We start from the raw sequence: 23,234 nt of genomic DNA, 5'->3' as shown, positions 1-23,234 counted from the left end.
AGATCTAATCGGTTCTGTTGCGCAAATGAAATATTGTACAACAGCCAGCATTTGTGGTCGCTAGACGCAAAGGCTGAAATTTATCCCACATGGAAGACTGATTCCAAATGTACTTACACTGAAGGTATTTTTCAAAGGGAAAGACCTAAGATCTCAGGTAAGTACACTGATGTATTACTTCATACCAATCTGATGGCTGTAATAGTTGAAGAAAACAAATAGGTGAGCTTTTTTAAGGCCTAACATACCTTTAGAGACACTTGAGTGGGATATTAAGACAGTGAATCTCATTGAGACCATCCTGGCTAACACGGTGAAACACCGTCTCTACTAAAAATACAAAAAAATTAGCCAGGCGTGGTGACAGGCACCTGTAGTCCCAGCTACTCGGGAGGCTGAGGCAGGAGAATGGCATGAACCCGGGAGGTGGAGCTTGCAGTGAACCAAGATTGCGCCACTTCACTCCAGCCTGGGTAACAGAGCGAGACTCCGTCTCAAAAAAAAAAAAAAAAAAAAAAAAAGACAGTGAATCTCAAACCCGTTTGGAGTCAGGGAATTTGGGGAATAAGATCAAACATCTGCAAAGGTATAAACTAGAAATTAATTAACAACAAATTTAACTCTGTCATATGGAAGTGCCAGAAAAATCAAACCAAAATGTGTGTTAACAAGAGAAAGAGAAAAACCCAGCAAAACAAGGTACTGGATTGAGTTTAATTTTGTTTTCCATTTTATTTGACACTCCTTAATCATTTTGTCTCCGGCTAGTGCCTGCCAGCAGCCACGCATCAGCACAGCCTACCGTGTAAGAAGTACTCACGGATGAAAAACTTAAAATCAGGAACTCTCCAGATATTACTTTGTCCTGAAAAGTAGTCAAATGCCGCCATTTCTTATTTTCAGTGGCATAACACACCTCAGCTCCCTCTCAGGACACAGGAACACAAACTTTTTGCAATAATTTGCATTCAACCTTGGCAATGCACAGCACTTCTTGCTAGAATCCTCTGTGCCAAATATAATTCCAGATTTTTCCACAATAGAAGTAGTGGGGGCTCTGTGACTGCACATAGCAGGGGAATTACCTTAATTTCTTTGGCATGTAGGATGACATTTTATTTCCTTTAGAAGTTTTGTTCCTGTCCCCCAGGCTGGAGTGCAATGGCGCAATCTTGGCTCACTGCAACCTCCGCCTCCCAGGTTTAAGTGAGTCTCCTGCCTCAGCCTCTCGAGTGGCTGGGATTACAGCGTGTGCCACCATGCCCAGCTAATTTTTGTATTTTTAGTAGAGATGGGGTTTCACCATGTTGACCAGGCTGGTCTTGAACTCCTGACCTCAGGTGATCCACCCGCCTTGGCTTCCCAAAGTGCTGGGATTACAGGCATGGGCCACTGCACCTGGCCGGAGGACTTTTTCAAGCAGCCACCCCGAGGCAGGTTCTGGGACCCTGACATTGCTCAAACAAGATGTCCTGAGATACTGGACGGCCACAGAAGTTATTGTGGACCAGCAACTGCTCTGACAACTTTCCAAAGCAAACCATCTCAGCCTGGCTCTTGGATGTGGAGGGCTTGCTGGATAATGTGTGCACCACAGTGGACCCAGAGAGGTCCTATGGAAAAGTCCTGGCTTGGCTGCAGGCCTGCCCTTAGCCTACCATCTCAGGGGTGTAGGTGGCTGCCCATGCAGGTGAGATCTTCGTTGAGCTGGGCCTTGCCTTTTGGAATGAGGGTGACTGTCCCAGCTGCTTCTAGTTTTTTTTTTGTTTGTTTGTTTGTTTTTTTGAGAAGGGTCCTGCTCTGCCACCCAGGCCGGAGTGGCAGTGGCATTATAACAGCTCAGTGCAATCTCAAACTCCTGGGCTCAGGCAATCCTCCTGCCTCAGCCTCCCCAGTAGCTGGGACTGTAAGTATGCACCACCATGCCCAGTTAATTTTTACATTCTTTTGGAGAGACAGGGTCTCACTGTGTTGCGTAGGCTGAAATACAGGGGCTATTCACAGATGCAATCGTAGCTCCCTGCAGGCTCAAACTGCTGGGCTCAAGCAATTCTCCTATCTCAGCCTCTGGAGCTGCTGGGACTACAGGCACATGCCATCATGCACAGCTGCTTTTAGGATTTTTAAAGAGCTTGATTCAGCCCTCCTTCAGTAACACAGAATCTCTAAAGACCAGGACCTTGTCAGAGACTGCTTTGGGGGCTGAAAAACATGTCAGTAAATGAGATGCTTCTCTGTGCCTTTGATTCTTCACCTATAAAATGGGGTAAGAGTTTCTTACCCCACAGGATGGCTACAAGGATTGAATGAGCTATTACACAACACACAAACCAGTGAGAGGTGGCTACTAATTATTATACTGGTATTTGTTAATCACAGTCTATCTGTTCCTTTATAGTGCTACCCAAATATCAATCATTCATAGAGCATCATGCTAAACTTTGGACTGTTTTCACGATTGTTTATTTAGTAGCTTTCTTTAAGCTGACTCATTTCCTTTTTACCTAAAATATATTTTAAAGGGGGACTGTACATCACCATGGTAAATGGAAAAATAGAATTCTGTGACATAACTAGGAGGCAAATGTAAAAATGAATACAGAAAAAAAAAAAACAATCTAATTAACCTTAAGCTTGTCACCTGCCAAAGGCAATGACCCCAGCCTTGCTGTTTTTCCTAAGAAAGATCAGAGGGACATGAGAGGTAAGAGAGTGACACAGAGACTTCCTCTTCCAAGGAGCTGGAAGCCATGAAGGGCTGAAAAAGCGGGGGCCCTTCTCCCCGCAGGATGTGGCCTTTCATGGCCAGTGTGGTCCTTCTAAATCCTGACTTGGCACATACACCACCATCTTGCCATCCCACACGCTAGGAGAGCTTGTTCCAAGGCAGCCGCCCTGCAGACCTCTGTGTGTGGGGTAAATGTTCCAGATCTGTGCTGTCCAGAACAGGAGCCATCAGCCACGTCTGGCTGCTCAGCATGTGAAATGTGGTGCAACTGAGGAGCCGAATCTTTCATTTTCTTTCTTTCTTTTTGAGACAGAGTCTCGCTCTGTCGCCCAGGCTTGAGTGTAGTGGCGCGATCTCAGCTCACTGCAACCTCTGCCTCCCAGGTTCAAGCGATTGTCCTGTCTCAGCCTCCCAAGTAGCTGGGATTACAGGCATGCAACAGCAACGCTCAGCTAATTTTTGTATTTTTAGTAGAGATGGGGTTTCACCATGTTGGCCAGGATGGTCTTGAACTCCTGACCTCAAGTGATCCACCCATCTCGGCCTCCCAAAGTGCTGGGATTATAGGCATGAGCCATTTTAATTGATATAAATCTCATTTTAATTAATATAAATCTCAAGAGCCACACATGGCTAGGAGCTCTGGTACAGACAGCGCAGCTCCAGTACCAGGGAGCACCGCTCTCCTGAGAAAGCTACATGTCTTGGCTCTCCAGTCGAATTTATGTTCACTTTGGGGTTATGCCCTTGGTTTCCTTCAAGGGAAATCTTAAGAAAACCAGACAGTGGCTGTCACGGGAATGTAGATGGGGATTGTCTACTCTATCCTTTTTTATTGTTTAATCTCAAATCCTGTGTGGAAATTTCTTTTACAGCTTCTTTTAAAGAATTAACATATTTTCTTATCATTAGCAACAGAATTATCCAAATAACCACATTTCCCTTTCACAATGGCTGCCAGGAAGCCCACAGGAAATTCATAAATCAATGAGTGCAACTGTGTAGAATCTCATGACACATATATATGCTTTCCGCTTTTTCCTTTTAAACCCTTAGTTTACATTTTCATTGACCCTGATGTATTTTTTTTAACCTCTCTTTTATCATTCTTTTTTAGACGTTTCTCTAGAAATTATGTCAAATCTTTTGTGGAATTAAATAGCATACTTGTTTTCTTTTTTTGAGGCAGAGTCTCATTCTTGTCACCCAGTCTGGAGTGCAATGGTGCGATCTCGGCTCACTGCAATCTCTGCCTCCTGGGTTCAAGCCGTTCTCCTGCCTCAGCCTCCCAAGTAGCTGGGATTACAGGCGCCCACCACCACGCCTGGCTAATTTGTATTTTTAGTAGAGATGGGGTTTCACTATGTTGGCCAGGCTGGTCTCAAACTACTGATCTCAGGCGATCCACCCGCCTCAGCCTCCCAAAGTGCTGGGATTACAGGCGTGAGCCACCATGCTTGGCCAGCATACTTTTTTAATTCTAAAATAAGTACTCTTCAACAGTACCAGTATTTTAAATGAGTCACCTTCTATGCAATATCATTTATATAAAGTAAAAACATGGCAATAAAGGATTTCTAAAATGCTTCCAAACACATGCTCTGATTTTGCTCTGCAGGCACCAATCAGAAGCATCATTTGCTAAAAAGAGAAAAATAATTGCATGCAAGAGACACCACTTCACACACCCCAGCATCAGGAAGGCTGCAGAAGGCCAAAGGCGTGGAGTGAAGTTGCTCCCAGCGATGCAGAGCGGCCAGGCCTGAGGCTGGCTGGAAGCAGGGCTGAACCCATGAGAGCTTCACACCGTAAAGGACGGGGAGAGAGTGGCTTCACTGCCACAGTGGCCACTGTGGAAACAATCTCCCAGGCAACGGCATATTTGCTAAGGTCCGTCTCAATTCATAGCTTTCAGGAGCTAAAAATTGCCAAGTTGCTTCATGGGGTAAACAGGGGGAAAAGTCAAAACTGAAAGGTCAAGGAAACCTCTCAAGTGATAACATGTTTTAATTTTGCTCTAAAATAGAGCTGTCTGCTGTACTTTTTTCATCCTCCAGGCTGCACCTTCCAGCTCTCTGATGACCACAATGCAGAACTTGAAGGGTCAAATAAGAAAGTTGGGTTTGTGGGGGACAAAAGGAGAAACAAAGAGAAGAGGATTTTTGAAAATCCATAATATCTAATTCTCCCTTTAAACCGGAGCTGGGAACAACATGAACACTCAAGATTCTCCTATGACTGTTGCCCAGCTGAAGGTGTCAAACTAAAACAAACTTCTCATGCCAAAGTCTAGCTCATCTGTCCCTAAGATTTCCAGTAAGATGTGCATATTATGCTTAGACCTGAGACCAAGCACAGCGGTCATTTGGGAAGGTGAGAAATGAATAGAGTGTCTACTGCAGGCCAGGTATTTCTAATCTCAAAACAGTTTTACAAGATAGATTACTGTCTCCATTTTACAGCTGAAGAAACTAAGACTCATCTAAGGTCACAGGATTTAAACCAGGGATTCCGCTTTCAAGTTCAGTGTCCTTTCTTCAACACCCCACTCTTTGGGGAAAAATATCTTAATAGACAAGAAAATTTCTTCAATAAGTCAATTTCTCACTAAGAAAAATGGCAACAAAATCCAAGGGTTTGCAGAGAGCTCATGGGGAATAAAACAAAACCTAACGACAATTATTTTAGCACAAGCAGACAGGAGAAGCAGGAAGCAGCTGGGGCTCAGCACTGAGAACAAAGCAGTCCCAGAACAAGGGCACACCAAAGCCTGGAAATCAGAGTCCGTGGTAAGAGAGAGGAGGAGAAGGAAGACAGACATGCAGACGAGCTGTGGGCAGGGCTAAAAGAGGCTTCAGAAAATCAGAGAGGAGACGGAGAACTGGAGTCCCCTTGATTGGGTAAAATCACCTCCTAAGCAGACACACATTTCGCTGCCCCAGACACTCAATGCCCACCTGGGTGCGGCTATCCGTACCCCAAGGAAGCAGAGGCGATGTCTACAGGTCCCGCTTGTCCAGTATCCATTGCCCCTTCTTTTGGAAAGAATTCTCTGGCTCTCATTTGGGGAATCTCCTTTCCCCACTCTCAGACATGTGGTCAGGTGAGGTAAACACCCACCCTGGCGACAGTGGTGGTCACATGAGCTGAATCAGGCCAGTCACAGAGTCCGTCACCCAACCCCAAGGTGTAGGAAGAGGCTCAAGATCCAGGACACACCAGTGAGACCCGCCCTTCCAGGCTGAGAACCTGGCGCTGCTGGGGTCATCCTGTCAACCCACGGACAGCTGGCCTGAGAGGGTCACCAAGCAGCAGACACAGGATATGGCAGCAGGTTCCTGATGGCAGGTCCAGCCATGCCCAAGGCCCGACCTACCACTGGACTTTTCAGATGCAAAACAAGCAAACACACATCTCCGTTTCTGCTCATGCAGTCTGAGCTGAGATTCCACAGCAGCCACACTAAGAGCCTGACTGGCACGAAGAGGCCCACCGTATCCCCCTGCCCAACTGAAAGCCACAGACTTCTTCGGCAAGGCCTCTGGGCAGTTAAGATGTGGGTGTCTGGAAGGCCATAGCCTCCTAATCATAGCGCCCCACCACCAAGAGGCAAAAAGCACCACAGCATGACAAATGGGCGTTTTTCCACCCAGCTGTGATGTCCACCTGAAAACCAGGCACTCACCTGATACACGTGGAATGCATTTGCTGCTTTGCCCCGGAGAAACACTGAGGGGATCCAGACGTTGATCAGCGCCCGGTTTGATCTAACCAAAAGGAAGAGAGAGAGACCAACATTAGACATTTTAACTTACAAAAAAATAAAAAATAAAAAAGAGGAAAGGAGACAATTTTCTACTCCAAGAGGTATTATGCACAAGCAATTTATGACAACTTACATCACACCTGATGGCAAGCTAAAGGACAAGTTTAAGTCATCACTCAGTCTGTCTCTCTCTACACACACACACACACACACACACACACACACACACACACACACACACACACATACACACACAATCTGTACTCCGGAATGTGAAAGAGCTCCCTTCAGTTCTTATGGAGTGATCTGGCCCATAATGTATCTGAACCTCAGTCTCCACATCTGAAAATGAAGATAATAACCGGAAGCCCCAAGGACGCGATCACAGGAGGTCACACACAGCAATGCCCAGCGTTTCTGGAGCACCCAGCAGTCACGCTGCCTCCTCACTGAGCTGACTTTAGACCCTGACCCTGAGCCCATTTTAAGATCAGACTCCACAAACGAGCTCAGGAGACCAACACTCATGGCAACAAGGGTGACAGCTGTTTAGGATGGGAGGAGGGAGGGACCAGAGAAAATGACAAGTTAGAAAACCAGGCTGATGGGTACAAATACCTCTCTTTCAGCTTTTCCAAAAACACTGTGTATATGGGTCCAATACACCAAGGTTTAAATTCAAATGCAAAATAATTTACTGAGCACCTACCACGCACAGCTCCATGCTTTTACCTATGGTCAAATCATTTATTTCTCACCTCGCGTGGGCCAGGTGAGGCATGTTTAACAGATATTTTGGTTATGTGATTGTTTTGTCTTCTGTGATGACTTTAAACTTAACTCGTAAGTCACTGTCACATTTGTACCCGGCTGGATCCAAATTACACAGAGCGAATAAGCTGACTGTCCCTGAAACTTCAAGATCAATTGTAATAATTATCAAAACGGTGCTGCACCATTCTGGAAGGGCTGTAAGGTCCCGGCCTTCGCCTCTAATTAGAGCTGTTCCAGGGCTAAATGCTTTCTCCTGAGCTCTCCTTCTCTCTCAAGAGCAGCTCATAAAAACTCGCCAGCCTTCTGGGCTTGGAACACAATTTGAGACACCGGTGATGGAAGATTCCACGACTCAATGTTCTCACAACCTCTAGAGTAAAGACCATTTCATTTTCACAATGACAATAACCCTTCAGGTAATGGGTCTCTCCTGAAATAGCATTTCTTCTCATCTCTGAGCAGAGGAGCTGACCTCCTTTGAGGGGTAAATTAAACCCCATTGATCACTTCCCCAGGGCTCAAGGCAATTTGTACATTGCAATTCTGAGCCATCAAAACTGGTTTGTGTATCTAATCACTTTCCTCCTGGAAAGGTCCCTGAAATTGTATTAGTGCCTAGAACATTCTCCTTTCATTTCTGTGTCAGGCTACAAGGCAGAAATATAAGTAGCACTCTGGTTTTTATTAACTTTTCTGGATTGGTGAGGAGTGGACAACCTCCCAGGGTTAGAGCGAGGTTACCCCAGCCTGGGTTAAATGGTTCTCTCTTTCAGTGCATTGACCACACTGTATCAGAAATTGATTGTTTAAGTGACCCATCTCCCTCCTAGATGTTAGTTCATTTGTTCATCCTTTTGTTCCTTCACTCACTCATTAAACAAGTTTTACTGAGAAGCCACTACTCTGGGTACTGGAGATAGAGCAATAAAAGAAGCAGACAGCCCTTTCTTCTGGAGCATTCAGTTTTAACATGGGAGAGAGACAAATCTCCATAAAATTTACTCTGTTGTGGGCTGGGTGCAGGGGCTCACACCTGTAATCCCAGCACTTTGGGAGGCTGAGGAAGGTGGATCATCTGAGGTCAGGAGTTCGAGACCAGCCTGGCCAAGATGGTGAAACCCTGTCTCTACTAAAAATACAAAAATTAGCTGGGCATGGTGGCACGCGCCTGTAGTCCCAGCTACTTGGGAGGCTGAGGCAGGAGAATCACTTGAACCCGGAGGCAGAGGTTGCAGTGAGCCAAGGTCACACCACTGCACTCCAGCCTGGGCAACAGAGTGAGACTCCATCTCAAAAAAAAAAAAAAAAAAAAAAATTTAACTCTATTGTGGTCAAGGAAGATACTTTGGATGATTTCAATTTTTAAAAATTAATTGAGACTGGTTTTGTGGCCTAACATACAGTCTTTCCTGGAAAGTTACAGGCACTTGAGAAGAATGTGCATTCTGCTGTTAAATCTAATTGGTTTCTCATGTTGTTCAAATCTTCTAACCCCTTACTGATCTGTCTAGTTATCCTATCCATTATTAAAAGTGGGGTACTGAGGCCGGGGGCTGTGGCTCACGCCTGTAATCTCAACACTTTGGGAGGCCGAGGTAGGCGGATCACGAGGTCAGGAGATCGAGACCATCCTGGCTAACATGGTGAAACCCTGTCTCTACTAAAAAATACAAACAAAAAAAATCATAGCCGGGTGTGGTGGCAGGCACCTGTAATCCCAGCTACTCGGGAGGCTGAAGCAGGAGAATGGCATGAACCCAGGAGGCGGAGCTTGCAGTGAGCAGAGATAGTGCCACTGCACTCCAACCTGGGTGACAGAGCAAGACTCCGTCTCTAAATAAATAAATAAATAAATGAAAGTGAGGTACTGAAGTCAAGTCTTATTGTAGAGCTGTTTGTTTCTCCTTTCATTTCTGTTGATTTTTTACATCACATGTTCTGAAGCTTTGTTGTCAGGTGTATATATGCCAATAGTTGTTACAGATAAATTATTTACTATTATTGTAAGTGCCACAAAGGAACACTGGATCTAAGGAGAGTGACTTCCAGGGCCTGCTTTGGTCTGGGACACCAGAGAAGGCTTCTTTGAAGAAGCAATGTTTCGGCCAGGCTTTAAGGGATATTTAGAGTTGGCCAAGTTGAGGATGAGAAAGGTGCTTCAGGCAGGGGAATAAGCATTTGTGGAGAGCACTGAGTCTAGACCAGCACTGCCTGGGTTTGAAACCCGGCTCAATTTCATCATCCGTGAGGAGACACCCATCTCTGAAGGTTGTTGTAGGGACTGAGTGAGTTAGAACAGTGTCCAGCACAGAGGCAATGCTGTGTACAAGTGGTTTAAGTGGGTAAAATAATAATCCTAAAGGGAGAGGACCAAGTGGGTTAGAGGAGCGGAACTGCCAGGATGGCTGGTGCAGGGAGAGGAGTGGGAAAGGCTGGGAACGAAGCCAGAGGTGAGTGAGGGCCTTCTTCGTAAGCTCCACAAAGGATTTCAGTCTCCATGCTGAGAGGGGAATGGTGCCATTGCTGCCTCTGGCTTTAGTGTAGATGAGTAAACTGGTTGGGGGAGGTTCCAAATCTCTGGGGAGAGACAATGTGGCCTGGATCAGGCAGAGACCACTTGAGGGCAGGGACCATGGCTAATTCATCCTCTCTATTAGGGACCTGCCCGGACACCAGCCTGCAGCAGGACATGGGTGAATTCTTGCTTTAATAATGAGTGCTTCCAGCCTCGTGTCTGGGACTCCCCTCTGTGGCTCTCTCTTGTCTTCCCAGTTTCTTCCCACAGCTGCCCTCCGCCGGACTCTGCCGTTCCAGGAGCCTCTTCATGCCATGCTCCCCCTGCCCACAAGCCCACAGCAGGCAAATTCACCTTTGATTTTCATCCTTCACCTCTCACCCACCTCAGCCTCTCCACCCTATCAGCCTAACAGCCACCGCCACCCCCGACCCCAGCAGCTGCCCCAACATGAATAGCCCCGTGATGCCCTCATGCCTTTCATAATCTCACTCATCGCCACCACAAGCTCTGCAAGGTTCGCATCAGGACCTTCGCCTCACAAATTAGGAAAGTGAGGCCCAGTGAGGTCAAATGGCTGGACTGATGCCTGAGATTTCAACGCAGGCCAGCCTGCCTCTGAAGAGATGCTCTTTCCAAGGCCCAGCCCTGCCTGCTCTAAAAGGGACTTTTCCCGGGCTTTTCTTCCCAACGGGTGCTGAACCTTAAACTCGCCAGAGATGAATGAGAGAGGAGACAACTTATCCATTTCCTTTACCAGCCTAAGGGATCTATTTGTCCAAAGCCCAAGAAATCCTGAACAAAAATCGGCTGGGCACGGTGGCTCCCAACTGTAATCCCAGCACTTTGGGAGGCCGAGGTGGGTGGATCACCTGAGGTCAGGAGTTCGAGACCAGCCTGGTCAACAGGAAGAAACCCCATCTCTAGTAAAAAATATAAAAATTAGCCAGGCGTGGTGGTGTGTGCCTGTAATCCCAGCTACTTGGAAGGCTGAGGCAGGAGAATCACTTAAACCCGGTAGGCGGAGGGTGCAATGAGCCGAGATCGTGCCACTGCACTCCAGCCTGGGCGACAGAGATTCTATCTCAAAAATAAAAAAGTCTGATGACCAACTAATCTCTCCCTATGGGTGGCTCAGCAGAGGTGCCAAATAGAATTGAACCCAATCAAAAATCCGACCAAGGCATGGACTACTGTTGTTTCCAATAACCCAGGGGCCACACAGATCATAAAATGAGTGAAGTCGGTCACTTCCAGGCAACAGCAAAGAGCGGGAACTGTGGTCAATTGGACGGCACATGCCCCTGTGCAAAGGGGATAGCTTTTACTCAGCTCCAGCAGACTGTGGCCTCACAGGGACAAGCGTCTCATTTTTAAAGAAAATAAAGGAAATTTGTGTTATGTGATAGCTTCCAAATTCTAAATGTCAGCCAAAAAAAAAAAAAATGTTTTTAAATACCCAAGGGTGAGAAAAAACACATCTGAGGGCGAGACTGAGGCTGTAGGAGAGCGACTCCTACCAGCTCTACAAGAACCACATCAACCTTGTGTGGGTCTCAACAGTGATTTCTGTTTCCCCCTGTGGTCTTCTGGGACAGAAGCCAACAACAGAGTCCAGTTTCTAAAGGACCCCTTGTGAGCACAGGCTGTGGACTTACATTTCAAAATCCGACAAACTCTGGTCTTCGGACGTTTGACTCAAATCTCCAGGCACCTACCATCAGGAGAAGGGGGAGAGGGGAGAAAAAATGCATAATGGTTACCATGGTTTGCATAATCACAGAAGAATTCTGCCTCTCAGAGATCCCTGAACATTTCCTATTCAGAATGAAGTGAAAAAGCAGTCACTGGAAAACGGTAAGAGATTGTGTGGAGGGATGGTTGGAGAGGATGTTGCAGCAATAAAAATATGCCACCATGAGGGATCTCAATTATCTTTATGGCCAAGGGACTGTTAATCCTATTGAGATAATCACAGGCATGTAAGAGCATGTAATTTTGGAGCGATAAAGGCCTAATTAGGATCTGAGATGCAAGTTATCAGATGTGCAATGGAAAAAATATCCATTGTTACCATGATGAACATCACACACACAGACACACCCAGTAGGTAAACACAAAAGGCCAATGTCACCCCCACAAGGGCTCCATCCTTTCCCCTCATAATGTACGAGCAATTTGAGGCAGCAGAATATGGCTTCTCCTGACTCAGAAGGGCCACATGAGATGATGACTAGGGGAGAGAAACTAAACTGTGTGGCATGGTGGACCCCACCACCAGTACTGCTTAGGGGTCCTGACCCCACACTGTGGAGGTGGGGGTGAGGGCAAGCAAGCATTCAAAGGTGCACGTGACCCCCAGTAAGCTACCTATCCTCAGCTCCCTGTCAGATAGGAAACTGATTCTCACAGCTGTCACAAGTATTGCAATTATTATGTAAAGCAGACAACAAAATGCCCAGTAGTGGTAGATGTTCAATAAATGTTGATATTTTTCTCATACCCAGGGAATGAGCTTCTTTTTTTGATCTGCTAGAAACTAAATTGGCTAAAATTTTAAGAAGGAGGATCAAGACTATGAGAAACCAAGTGGAACAGAGAAGGGTGAGGGGTAGTGAAGTGAAAAAAGAGAACACTGAATTTACACCTTTTACCTCTCAGGGTTTCCACACTCCCCACAATCCCCAGCAAGCTTCACAGTGAACCTGAGGACAGGTATCATTCTCCCCACTTTACAGATGAGGAAACCGAGGCTCAGGGAGGCTGTAAAACTTGCCCAAGGTCACACATCTAGGAAATGGATCTGTCCAACTTCAAAGCTTTTCTGCTATAAACCCTCAGCAAACAGGAAAAGTCAGCTAAAAGGTGAAAAAAGAAAGACTGAAGTAGTCTTGAAGGCTTCAAGAAGAAATGAAGAAACTTGAAGGTTAGGACACATTAGAAGGCTCTCCTTAAATCAACAGTGGAGACTGGGTGAAGCGGCTCATGCCTGTAACTCCAGCACTTTGGGAGGTCAAGGTGGGCAGATTGCTTGAGCCCAGGAGTTCAAGACCAGCCTGGGCAACACAGCAAGACCTTGTCTCTCCTAAAAATAATGGAAAAAAACATTAGCCAGGCATGGCGGCAGAAGCCTGTAGTTCCACCTACTCCAGAGGCTGACGTGGGAGCATCACTTGAGTCCTGGAGTTCAAGGCTGCAGTGACCTAACCTGGGTGACAGAGCATGACCCTGTTTCAAAAAAATAAAGAAAGTTAAGAGAATTTGTATTTTCTATTTTGAACTTTTTTGTACTTTCTACAATGAAGACGTATTAACTGCATAACCATAAGCAGATACATTATATATCAATTTAAGTGTGTATCACATTACTAAGTAATCAAATACCCTTTCCACCTCATCCCACTCCATGCATTTCACTCAAATCCAGAAAGCAAGGTGTCAGAGATGGTGCCTTCCTAACAGTTACGCATCATGGATGGAAAAGGGCAAAGAAAGGGTTCTAAGGCCACGCCCCGTTCTAGACAACACCCATTCTCCTCTTTTCATCCATGTGGAGGACGCCAGTATCTTCTCTGGCAGACACTGTAGGGCTGCTCTTGGCCACTCCTCTTTTCTGGGTTTCCCACTCAGCACTGAGGCTGGGAAAAGCTCTTCTGGGCACGCTATGGGGATCAAGTGGGCAGACCAGAGGGGGACTCACAAGCCATCAGGACACCAGCTCCACTGCTACACACAATCGCCACCGCCTTTAGATGCAGCCTCATTTCCAACTGGAAGTGAACAGAGTTTGCACCCAGGAACCTCAATCACAAGAACATCTGGCTGTATCTACCCCACAGAGCACAGGCAGAAGGCAACCAAAAGGACCAAGGTGAAAGACAAGGCAGATTTTTTAAGGACAGACATTACTCTACAATTATCGAAAACAAAGGGCTTCTTCAAAAATGACTAATTCTGGAACAAGGTATTTTTTGGGTAGGTAAGTTTCCCCTGAGGGGTGGGGATTTTCAGGGAACATTTTGAACAGGGGATATGCGTACCCAGGAGTGGTTCAATCCTTCTGACTTAGAGGCTTTTCTTCTAATTACATGGCATTATTAGGATCAGTAAACCCGGAGATTTTGTGTGTCTACATGAGTACCAGGGAGGCTGCTTCGAAAAAGAATTTGGGAACTTTCTAACCTCCGTTAGGAACATAACTTGATAACAAGGCCAGGCACTGTAGCAAATGCATGATGATAATTAAAGGCCGAGCTTACTCAACATCAAATTTTGTCTTTTCTTGCTGTCTTTCAAGACTGGAGCCAGATATTAGCTAGACTTGACAGCAGCCCTTTAGAGAGCTGATTCTATTTTATATTCTGGCAATAAAGAGTGTGGAGCAGAGATTATTTTGTAAGAAAAATCAACTTTCTACTGACACTGGCCACAAACATCCCCTGTTTGTCTGAAGTCTGGGGAATCTTGGAGAACACATCCCTGGGATGCAGATTTCTCTTTAGTTTACCCTCAATATGGGGCACAAACCAGCCATCAGCAACATGGCTATCTCTATTCACCTCTCCCTGACCCTGCAGAGAAGGCAGCTCACACTCTGCCTGTGGTCTGGGCACTCACGCGGCAGTCTTCAGGTGCAAGGAAAGGCAAAGCCCGTTACTAGAGCAACAGAGCAGCCAGGATTCCTGAATCATGCTGGAGCAAACACCCTCGGTGCTGTACACACAAGGATGTGAAATGGTAGATGAGACCAACGGGGAATCCACTTCTGGGCTGCATCAGCAAAGAAGTTTCCATCATCTCCTCTGACTCAGGATTTCCTGGGTTGTTTGGGGCAGATGGGGAGCAGGGACAGAACAGAGACAAGAAGTCTCTTCTCCCTAGTCATGAAACTCTGACCCCAGTGCCAGCGTGGAACTCTGACACAGGCCCACCCTGCCACTTTGACTGGCAAGTCCTCAAACCTGGGAAGACACTAGAGGTTCTGCCAAAAAGAATGAAAAGTATCCACTATGTCCTGAATAAATGTTTATTTAAATAAAAAGGAAAGACAGAAGAGGGAGAGAAAAAGAAAATCAGCCAATTTGCCAAAGCCGTAGAAGAAAAATTACACCTCCTCCCATTGTGGTAAAAAAAATTACCACACCCCCAGGTAAGGCGGTGGTAAAGATGAACAGGGAACCCTTCTGTCATTGGAGCTACCCTCACTTCTAGTCCTGAGGGGTGTGCAAGCATGACACCACCACCACCCAGTATCATCAAAGGCTGCCCACTCCACAAAGCTCTTCCACAGCAGGTGGGCAGAGGTGTGCTTCCGATTTCATGGGCAAGGACAAGAGAGATCACTGTGAATAAACACAGAGGAAGTAAAGATATCAGGAGCCCAAGCCAAATCTCTTAGTCTACTCAGCAGCCTCTCACTCAGCCTCAGTGCCTTCAGGTGCTCGGGCTTTCTCCAGGTGGAGAAGCCACATGAGGTATTCTGATCAATAATCCCATCTGAAGTCCCAGTGGATAGCCAGCACCAACTACCAGATAAATGAGAGCACCATCTTGGATGTCCAGCTCAGTCAAGCCCTGGTCGACACCACATGACGTAAAAGAACCACCCAGCTGAGCCCAGTCGGCCCACAGAATCATGAGAGATAAAAAAATAGCCAAGTTTTTTTAAAAAGCCATTAAGTTTTGGGGTGGTTTCACATACAGAGACATATAATCCATAAAAGTAACTTGCCCAAGGTCCTTCAGGTAGTAAGTAGCATAGGTGGAATTCAAACACAGGTGGTCTGGCTCCAGAGCCTGCTCTTCTAACTGCTAAGCTATACTGCCTCCCACTACAAAGTATCCGTTCTTCGCATCTTGCCTCTGGGATGCCCAGAAGATCAAGTAACCCAAATTCATACTCAAGAGCCTTAGCTGGTAAACGGACCTCTGATGGGTGAAGAAAATCTGAAAGGACTCAATAGCTCCAGAGTAGACATATACAGATGCACAACTGGGTCTAAAACCTTGAGCCTCCTTAAAGCTTGGGGGTTTTCTGATTTTATTTTGCTGTTGCTGCTGCAGGAAGACTTAGGAGGCTTTGCCCCTAGGAAGTCCCAGGTCCTTTTCCATCTCTGGGAACACAGGTCAGCCTCCAGACTCTGAGCCAAGTACATAAGCTCTCAGGAACAGACAGAAATGCACATGTTTTGAGTTCTAATCCTGGGCTTCCTCTGATGATGTGAGAAGTCACTTGGCTTCCGTAAACCTTGGTTTCTTCCTTGCCTACCTCATGACAACCAGCCTCTGATTGCCCTATTAGAAAAAATCAACAAAGGTAAAGGGAGAGGCCAGCATGTGCTGAACAATTACTATGTGCCAAGGACTTCATGGTCTCACAGTTAATCTTCAAACAATCTGCGAAGCAAGTATTATTGTAAGCTACTGCTCCCTTCTCCTCTTCCTCAGCCTCTCTGTAAGGTTAGCTCTTCTCATCTAAGACTCAGCCAAAATATGAATTCCTAGGAGGCACCTTCCCAGACCACCAGAACTAAACAGTGTCTCCACTGTAACCCTCTACGGTTCACATTCTTCAGCTTGTAATGACTCCACGCTGGTTATCTGTGGATTGGAACCCTCCTTGTGAGCTCAGAGAGCTCTATATGTGCTTACCACACCCACCTGTTCACCATGACACACTGCAGCCTGGCCAAGAACCCAGCACATGTAGGCACGAACTAACACACTGAATGAATGAATGAATGAATGCATGCATGCATGCATGCATGAATGAATGAATCATAAGATATGCTATGTTTCCACCCTGAAATGCCAACAGATTTTTAGATTGCTTTGTAGCAAATTCAAAATCTTGATGCATGGGAAGGATAAGTTAGTTTGGAGACAAAAAAAGAACCAAAGAAAGAGAATCTTATTTCTTTCTTCTAATTACCAGGTTCTCAGATTCACTGCTCCAAAGAAAAGCAACAAGGAAGATCCTATGGAGGCAGCAAACCTTTGTTCCAATCATGAAATGGCAGCCATAATTTGTTTTCCAGAGTCACTTTCTCACTCATCCCTATTTTCAAATAGCCTGCCCTTATGCAATTAGCTCTCCCTTTTCACTGCCAAAAAATGACAACTGTTTTCCATCCCACCAATGCGCTTGCTTTCTCATCTCATCTTTTAATAAGGAACAGAATGTGAAATGGCATGGTTCTGTCTCTCAGCTTGGTTGGTCAAGCCAAGCAACAGGCTCAGGCCTGATGATCTGATCATAAAGTCAGCCTGGGCTATCCACGCCTTCAGGACAAAGCCCCCCAGTTCTGGAGCACTTTCAGGGTTCTCTGTTAGTTTTTTCATTTGCTTTACAAACATACCACTAGAGGCATCATATCTCTGTGGCTTTTGTTGTTGTTTTTGTTCTCTGTGGTTTTTAAAAACAGCTGAGGTCAAGGATTCTTTGCTAGGAGTAAAAACTTGGCAAATAAGAGCTTTAAAGAATTTTTATTTTATCCTCTGGGCAGCACTGAAACCTCACACAAACATAGACTATCACACTTCTGTGAATCAGTTTTTGACACATTTGTTTTTCCCAAAAGATAACAAGGGTGTAGAGGACAATATTCTCAGAGTCCAACGTGGTAGGCAGGCACATCTGATCGCTCAGTGAATGTTCCCACTGGATGGACAGACAGGCAGATGTAAAAATGGACAGATGGATGGATGAATGGCTGGAGCAGGGAAAGGGTGGGAGGCAAAGGGCATGGGGAAATGATCGAACTTACTACTTCACTAAGAATGGACATCTACTTTCTTTCCAAGAAATAAAGAGTGATGGACAACATAAGCACAGAGACAAGGATACAAAGACATTTGTTGCAATACCACTTAGGGTAATAAAAGCCTGGAAACAAGGAATGAAATGGTTATATAAAACACAGCACACTCATAGCCAGGCTGCGCAGCTATGAAAAGAACAGCAGGCATCTCCTCTAAAGAGGAGGAGATCTCTAAGATATAATGTCAAATGACAAAAGCTAGACACAAAACAAAGTGTCAGGTGAGCTACTATCCTCTTGAAGTATTAGCGTGTTGGGAGACACACGTGTCTATATGCATGAACCATTTCTATAAAGACACGTAAGAACCTGCTAGCCATGGGTGCCTTTGAGGGAAGGCACTGAGAAGCAAGCGTCAGAGGAGAGACGATGATCTATTCCTATCTGTAAAACTTTACACCTTGTAGATTTTTACCATGTACATGACTTGTTAACCTTTCAAAAAATCAACGTAACAATCACGCAATTTTAAATCGAAAGAAAGAAACTATCATGTCTATGGTGGAAAGAAAATCAGAACAGTGAATACCTCAGGGAGAGTGGAGTGGGAAACACCAGGAAATGGCATGAAGGGACATTCTGGGGCGATGGTAAAGTTCTATGTGCCTACTGAAGTATTTTGGGAGAAACATATACCGACATCTGCAATTTACTATGAAATGCATCCCAAAAAAGATAAAATGATGGACAGATGAATGAATGAATGGATGGATGGATGCACGCATAGATGGATGGATAAAAAAACAGATGATAAAGTACAGCAAAATGTTAATGGTAGACTCTAAGTGGTAGGTATACATGTGTTCACTGTAAAATTCTTTCATATAATTGCTTTTAAAATTTCAAGCAAAATCCTGGAAAGTTTTTGTTCCACCATGCTGGAAGAACGACTGAATTATCCTTCTACTCTCTGTACAGAAAATGATGTAACAGTACTGTCTTCTGAACAGGCTATCAGAGTATGCAGCTTAAAAATGTAGGAGAAAAGGGATCAGAGAAGAGTACCCGATGGTTAATTAATTAACCTATGATGTTTGTCTGGATTCTGTGGTATTTGTGGTATGTATCAGCTCTTTAACAATGATAATTTGTAAGGCTGGGCATGGTGGCTCATGCTTGTAATCCCAGTAATTCAGGAGGCCAATGCAGGAGGATCGCTTGGGCCCAGGAGTCTAAGGCCAGTCTGGGCAACACAGGGAGACCCCATCTCAACAGAATATTTAAAAAGTAGCTGGGTGTGGTGGCATGCTCCTATAGTCCCAACTACTCTTAAGGCTGAAGTGGAAGGATTGCCTGATCCCAGGAGGCAGAGGCTGCAGTGAGACCTGATTGCGCCACTGCACCCCAGCCATGGTGACAGAGTGAGACCCCATCTCGAAACAATAAATAAAGACAATTTGTTGCGATTTATTTCCTCATTCTAAGTAAGTGTTTTTTTCTTTTCTTTTTTTTTTTTTTTAAAGACTGAACAAGACTTGAGTCAGCTGGGCCTGAGCTCTGACTCAGCTGCGTGGCCGAGAATAAGCCACTCCACTTCTCTGGGCCTTACTTCCCTCCTGGAAAATGGGGACAACAGAAGCTGCCCTGGTGGGGTTGTTAGGAAGCTCCAATAGGATCCTGCAAGAACCATCCCAGCCCAGCACCTGGCAGAGAAACATTCTGGGCTCTGTGGAAAACCCGCTGAGGGCATGGTGGTTTTGGGGTTTGGCAGCCCTCGCCCAGAATGAGGGGCTGACTGCTCCATTCCACAAATGCACACTAGTTATGCATACGTTTATTCCACAGATTTGCACTACATTCCATTGAGTAGTCAGACTCTCTGCAGGTGACAGGGGGAGAGGAAGTCCCGGGGCTTGCAGAGCATACAATCCACCAGGAGAGACAGTCTCCACACAGCAGTCAGCACAATTCATTAGACAGTTAAGGCTGTGAAAAGTCCACGGAGGACAGGGATGGATGAGGCATCTGGGAGGAGCCTGAAGCATAAGGGAGATGAGCACGGCTTTGGTCTGTGCTCCGACGGGGGAAACCTATGAGGGATTTAAGCAAGAGAGAGGCTGGTCCAGCTCACACTTCAGTCACTCTGGCTGCAGAGCAGAGATGGGAGGCAAGAGGCAAACTGCCAAGAGGCTGTGCGTGCACACATATACATATACATACACACACACACACACACACACACACACACACCCCTCAATTGCACGCACGGGGTAACATGCCAAACTCTCTGCCATCCTCTTTATATCAACAGACTTTTAAGGATCACCTATAAGAAAAGCACAAATCAACAACTGCCTAGAATTCCTCCAGGCTGAAGCTACCAATATAGAACTATTCTTAAGTTATGAATTTTCAACCAATTGGTGAAACACTCAGACCTACTGCAATGAGTGGAAAGTATTCAACTAACCCAAACTCGCTCCTGCTTCAGATGAGGGAAACAAGGTTTGAAGAGTCAATGAGCAGCCTTACAGTGGCTGGGTCCCTGGGCTGCAGACTTCTCCTGCTCTGCCCTACATCTGTGGTTGTTTTTAGCCTCTCCTCCCAGGTCCCAGGGTTTCCAGGAGATGTTTCAAGGCTCATTGGCCAGAGCCCTCCCTGTGTTCTCCTATGAGGGTAGGTTCTACTTTGACCCATTACCCCTACTGAGTTGCTAAGGAGGAGTTCTTCTTAAAGGGTTACACAAACATGATTTTTTTTTTAAGTTTAGAAAACAGGGAACAAATGTTCTTGTATTAATCTGTTCTCACACTGCTAATAAAGGTAATTATAAAGGAAAGAGGTTTAATGGACTCACAGTTCCACATGGCCAGGGAGGCCTCACAATCACGGTGGAAGGCAAGGAAGAGCAAGTCACATCTTACATGGTGGCAGGCAGGAGAATGAGAGCCAAGCGAAAGCGGAAACTCCTTATAAAACCCTCAGATCTCATGAGACTTAATCACTACCATGAGAACAGTATGGGAGGAAACCGCCCCCGTGATTCGATTATTTCCCACCAGGTCCCTTCCACAACATGTGGGAATGGTGGGGGCTACAATTCAAGATGAAATTTGGGTGGGGACACAGCCAATCCATATCAGTTCTCATGCACTATTTCATCCTTAACTCCAATTTAACAGCCAGGGAAACTGAGGCACAGGTCAACCAGATGATGCCAAAGAAAGGCAGCTGTCCAAAACCGAGAATCTGAACTGGCTCGCGCTAGTGTTACAGTAACATGGGGAGTGGATGTAGGATTTCCTAAGATACGCTACAATCCCAAGGAAAACTATGATGTAAAAATTGGCCTGGGACCACTGAGCAGTATTTAATAGCACTGAGAGATATCAAGGATGTTTAAGCGGCAGGTCTGAGGAGCTCACCCTTGCAGGCAGGAGCAGATTTAGATACACCTGGGTTGATCCTCTAGTGACACCAGCCTGTAAGAACAACCAAAGGCACCTGCCTTTCCTGTTACCTTAAATGTCCTCTTGCAAATAGAATATCCCTTACCAACACTACGTGCAAGTGTGTTACAGGCAGAACCCTCCAGGTCAAGGACTCTCATTCATTTTTGCATTTCCAGCACCTAAACCCAGTACCTCTCCATACTCTACATCAGGGGTCAGCAACTATGGCTCCTGGGCCAAATCCAGCCCGTTTTTGTAAACGAAGTTTTATGGGAACACAGTCCCACTCAGCCAGTTATGTATCATCTATGACCGCTTTCAGGCTGCATCAGCAAAGTGGAGTAACAGTGAGAGAGACAGCGTGACCCGCACAGTCATGTACTATGTGGGCATTTACGGAAAATGTTTGCCAATTCCTAACTGATAGCTGGAAAGATGCAGAAAAATCATTTGTAATTTCAGGGAAATCTCATTTGTCTAGGTAGGGAGGAATAAATCTTTGATCTCCATAGCTTTATAAAATGTCAAGGGCTTGAGAATCAAAAGAGGCCCCTGGCTCCAGGTAGAGAAGGAATGTCAAGACGTTAAGGACTGAGACATTTATTTGTACCCACTCATGTAATTCTTTGAGTAACCTGTTTCCCGTATTCTACAGAGGCTCAGAGAAGCTAAGTGACATGCCCACAGACACAGCAATAATTCAAAGCCAACTTTGGCTGAATCCCAAGTTGTGCTCCTTCTATAACACCTGCTGTCTCCCCCAGAAGAAACATGGGTGCGGAAAAAGAATTCGGGCTCATCTCCTCCGAAAGAAGGAAGCCCTAAAGCTCGGCACGTGCAAAAGGCGGTGCCTCGAAAGGGAAGAGAAGATGCTCTGGCAATCCGAGCATGTGTATGACTGGGCCATTTGCTGTTAACCACACGCATGGAGTGTATTTTTAACATTATAAGCACAATGATGAAATCTGTGGATGAAGAGGCTCTCTGTTTGCTGCTAATTTGCAGATAAAAGCAAAACAACTCTGGAATGTTTCTTCCAGGGTTCTTCCTTAGAGTTTAATTTCCACCAGTCACAAGAAAGAATGCCACATCCCAGAGGCTGCTTCAGGCATGGAGGCATGGAAGTAGGGGAAGAATGTTCTCATGAAGCTCTTCACTGATTAGTTTTGGCTACCAAGGTCTCCCGGAAAAGACCTTAAGGGTCTTAAGGTCAGATGGCTTAAGGTCAAGTAGACTCGGGCCTCAACACTTATTAACAGAAAATCTTGAGCCTCAGTTTCCTCATCTGTAAAACAGAGCCAGTACTCACCCACCACGACGCCTGCGACATCCTATTTTAAAATGCCCAGCATCCTGCTGGCTGCACAATAATAAGCACTCAACAAAATGGCCTTTCTCACCCTCCCACCCCAGCCCCTCCCTTTCACATCCCTGCACTAAAAAGATAACAAATGGCAAGGGGAGTGTAGCCAGCTCTGACCTGAGCCATCGTCCCCTCAGCTCAGCTTGGATGGGAACCTGTTCTCCACTTCTGAGACGCCAACGATTCTCCTCATTGCTCTCCCAAGGCTCGAGTGCTATCCCAAGTAGACCAGTAGACTGCAGCCCTGGGAAGAATGGGGCACCGGAGCAAGCTGTAGCCTTCTCTCTCGGCCTCTCCTAGGACCATTCGGTTGTGTGATGAGGAACAAGGAGGACTGCCGCAGTCCTGCTTCCCTCCCAATCAGTGCAGAAGCAGCAGGAATGGAACCGCTAACTTGGTTTCTTTGGATCAGTAATGGGAATCTAGGTGTGGCTCTCTCTTTTTTTTTTATTTTTTTAATGAGACTGAGTCTCACTCTGTCGCCCAGGCTGGAATACAGTGGCACAATCTCGGCTCACTGCAGCCTCTGCCTCCCAGGTTCAAGTGATTCTCCTGCCTTGGCCTCCAGAGTAGCTGGGATGACAGGCGTATGCCACCATGCCCAGCTAATTTTTCTATTTTTAGTACAGATGAGGTTTCACCATGTCAGCCAGGCTAGTCTTGAATTCCTGACCTCAAGTGATCCACCCGCCTTGGCCTCCCAAACTGCTGGGATTACAGGCGTGAGTCACCACGCCCGACCTAGGTGTGGCTCTCTCTTATTTCTTCTTCCCTCTCTTCTGGAAAAGAAGGCCTTTTTTTGTTTAATTTTTCACCCTTCAACTCTTTTCTTATTAACAGTGAGCAGGCATAGGCACTTTGAACTGTTCAGGAAAG

General features: G+C 45.9%; 1 protein-coding gene across 19 annotated transcripts in view, besides 3 other annotated features; it reads right to left on the bottom strand.

The window, feature by feature from the left end:
- SNX29 (sorting nexin 29) overlaps positions 1–23,234 on the bottom strand; it is a 597,554-nt gene that overhangs the window by 164,345 nt on the left and 409,975 nt on the right. For all 19 annotated transcript variants that reach the window (XR_001752024.3, NM_032167.5, XM_017023874.2 and 16 more), the window contains 2 exons: positions 11,442–11,497; positions 6,414–6,495 (listed from right to left, as the gene is read on the bottom strand). Coding sequence is in view for 18 of the 19 variants with exons in the window: in NM_032167.5 (NP_115543.3) it covers positions 6,414–6,495; positions 11,442–11,497 (138 nt within the window). In the remaining variant the exon portion in view is untranslated. The remainder of the gene's footprint in view (positions 1–6,413; positions 6,496–11,441; positions 11,498–23,234) is intronic.
- Positions 2,772–2,901: an enhancer, noted in NCBI's record as "active region_10470". NCBI's record gives its function as "activates an Ori minimal core promoter by ATAC-STARR-seq in GM12878 lymphoblastoid cells {active_cell/tissue: GM12878}" and the evidence as "EXISTENCE:reporter gene assay evidence [ECO:0000049][PMID:35858748]".
- Positions 4,428–4,527: an enhancer, noted in NCBI's record as "active region_10469". NCBI's record gives its function as "activates an Ori minimal core promoter by ATAC-STARR-seq in GM12878 lymphoblastoid cells {active_cell/tissue: GM12878}" and the evidence as "EXISTENCE:reporter gene assay evidence [ECO:0000049][PMID:35858748]".
- Positions 22,257–22,551: an enhancer, noted in NCBI's record as "tiled region #12750; K562 Activating DNase matched - State 8:EnhW". NCBI's record gives its function as "activates a minimal TATA promoter and a strong SV40 promoter by Sharpr-MPRA in K562 cells {active_cell/tissue: K562}" and the evidence as "EXISTENCE:reporter gene assay evidence [ECO:0000049][PMID:27701403]".

This window comes from Homo sapiens, chromosome 16 (genome assembly GCF_000001405.40).
Source record: "Homo sapiens chromosome 16, GRCh38.p14 Primary Assembly".
Taxonomy (NCBI): domain Eukaryota; kingdom Metazoa; phylum Chordata; class Mammalia; order Primates; family Hominidae; genus Homo; species Homo sapiens.
Note: the sequence above shows the minus strand (reverse complement) of the source record. Positions and strands in the feature narration are given on the sequence as shown.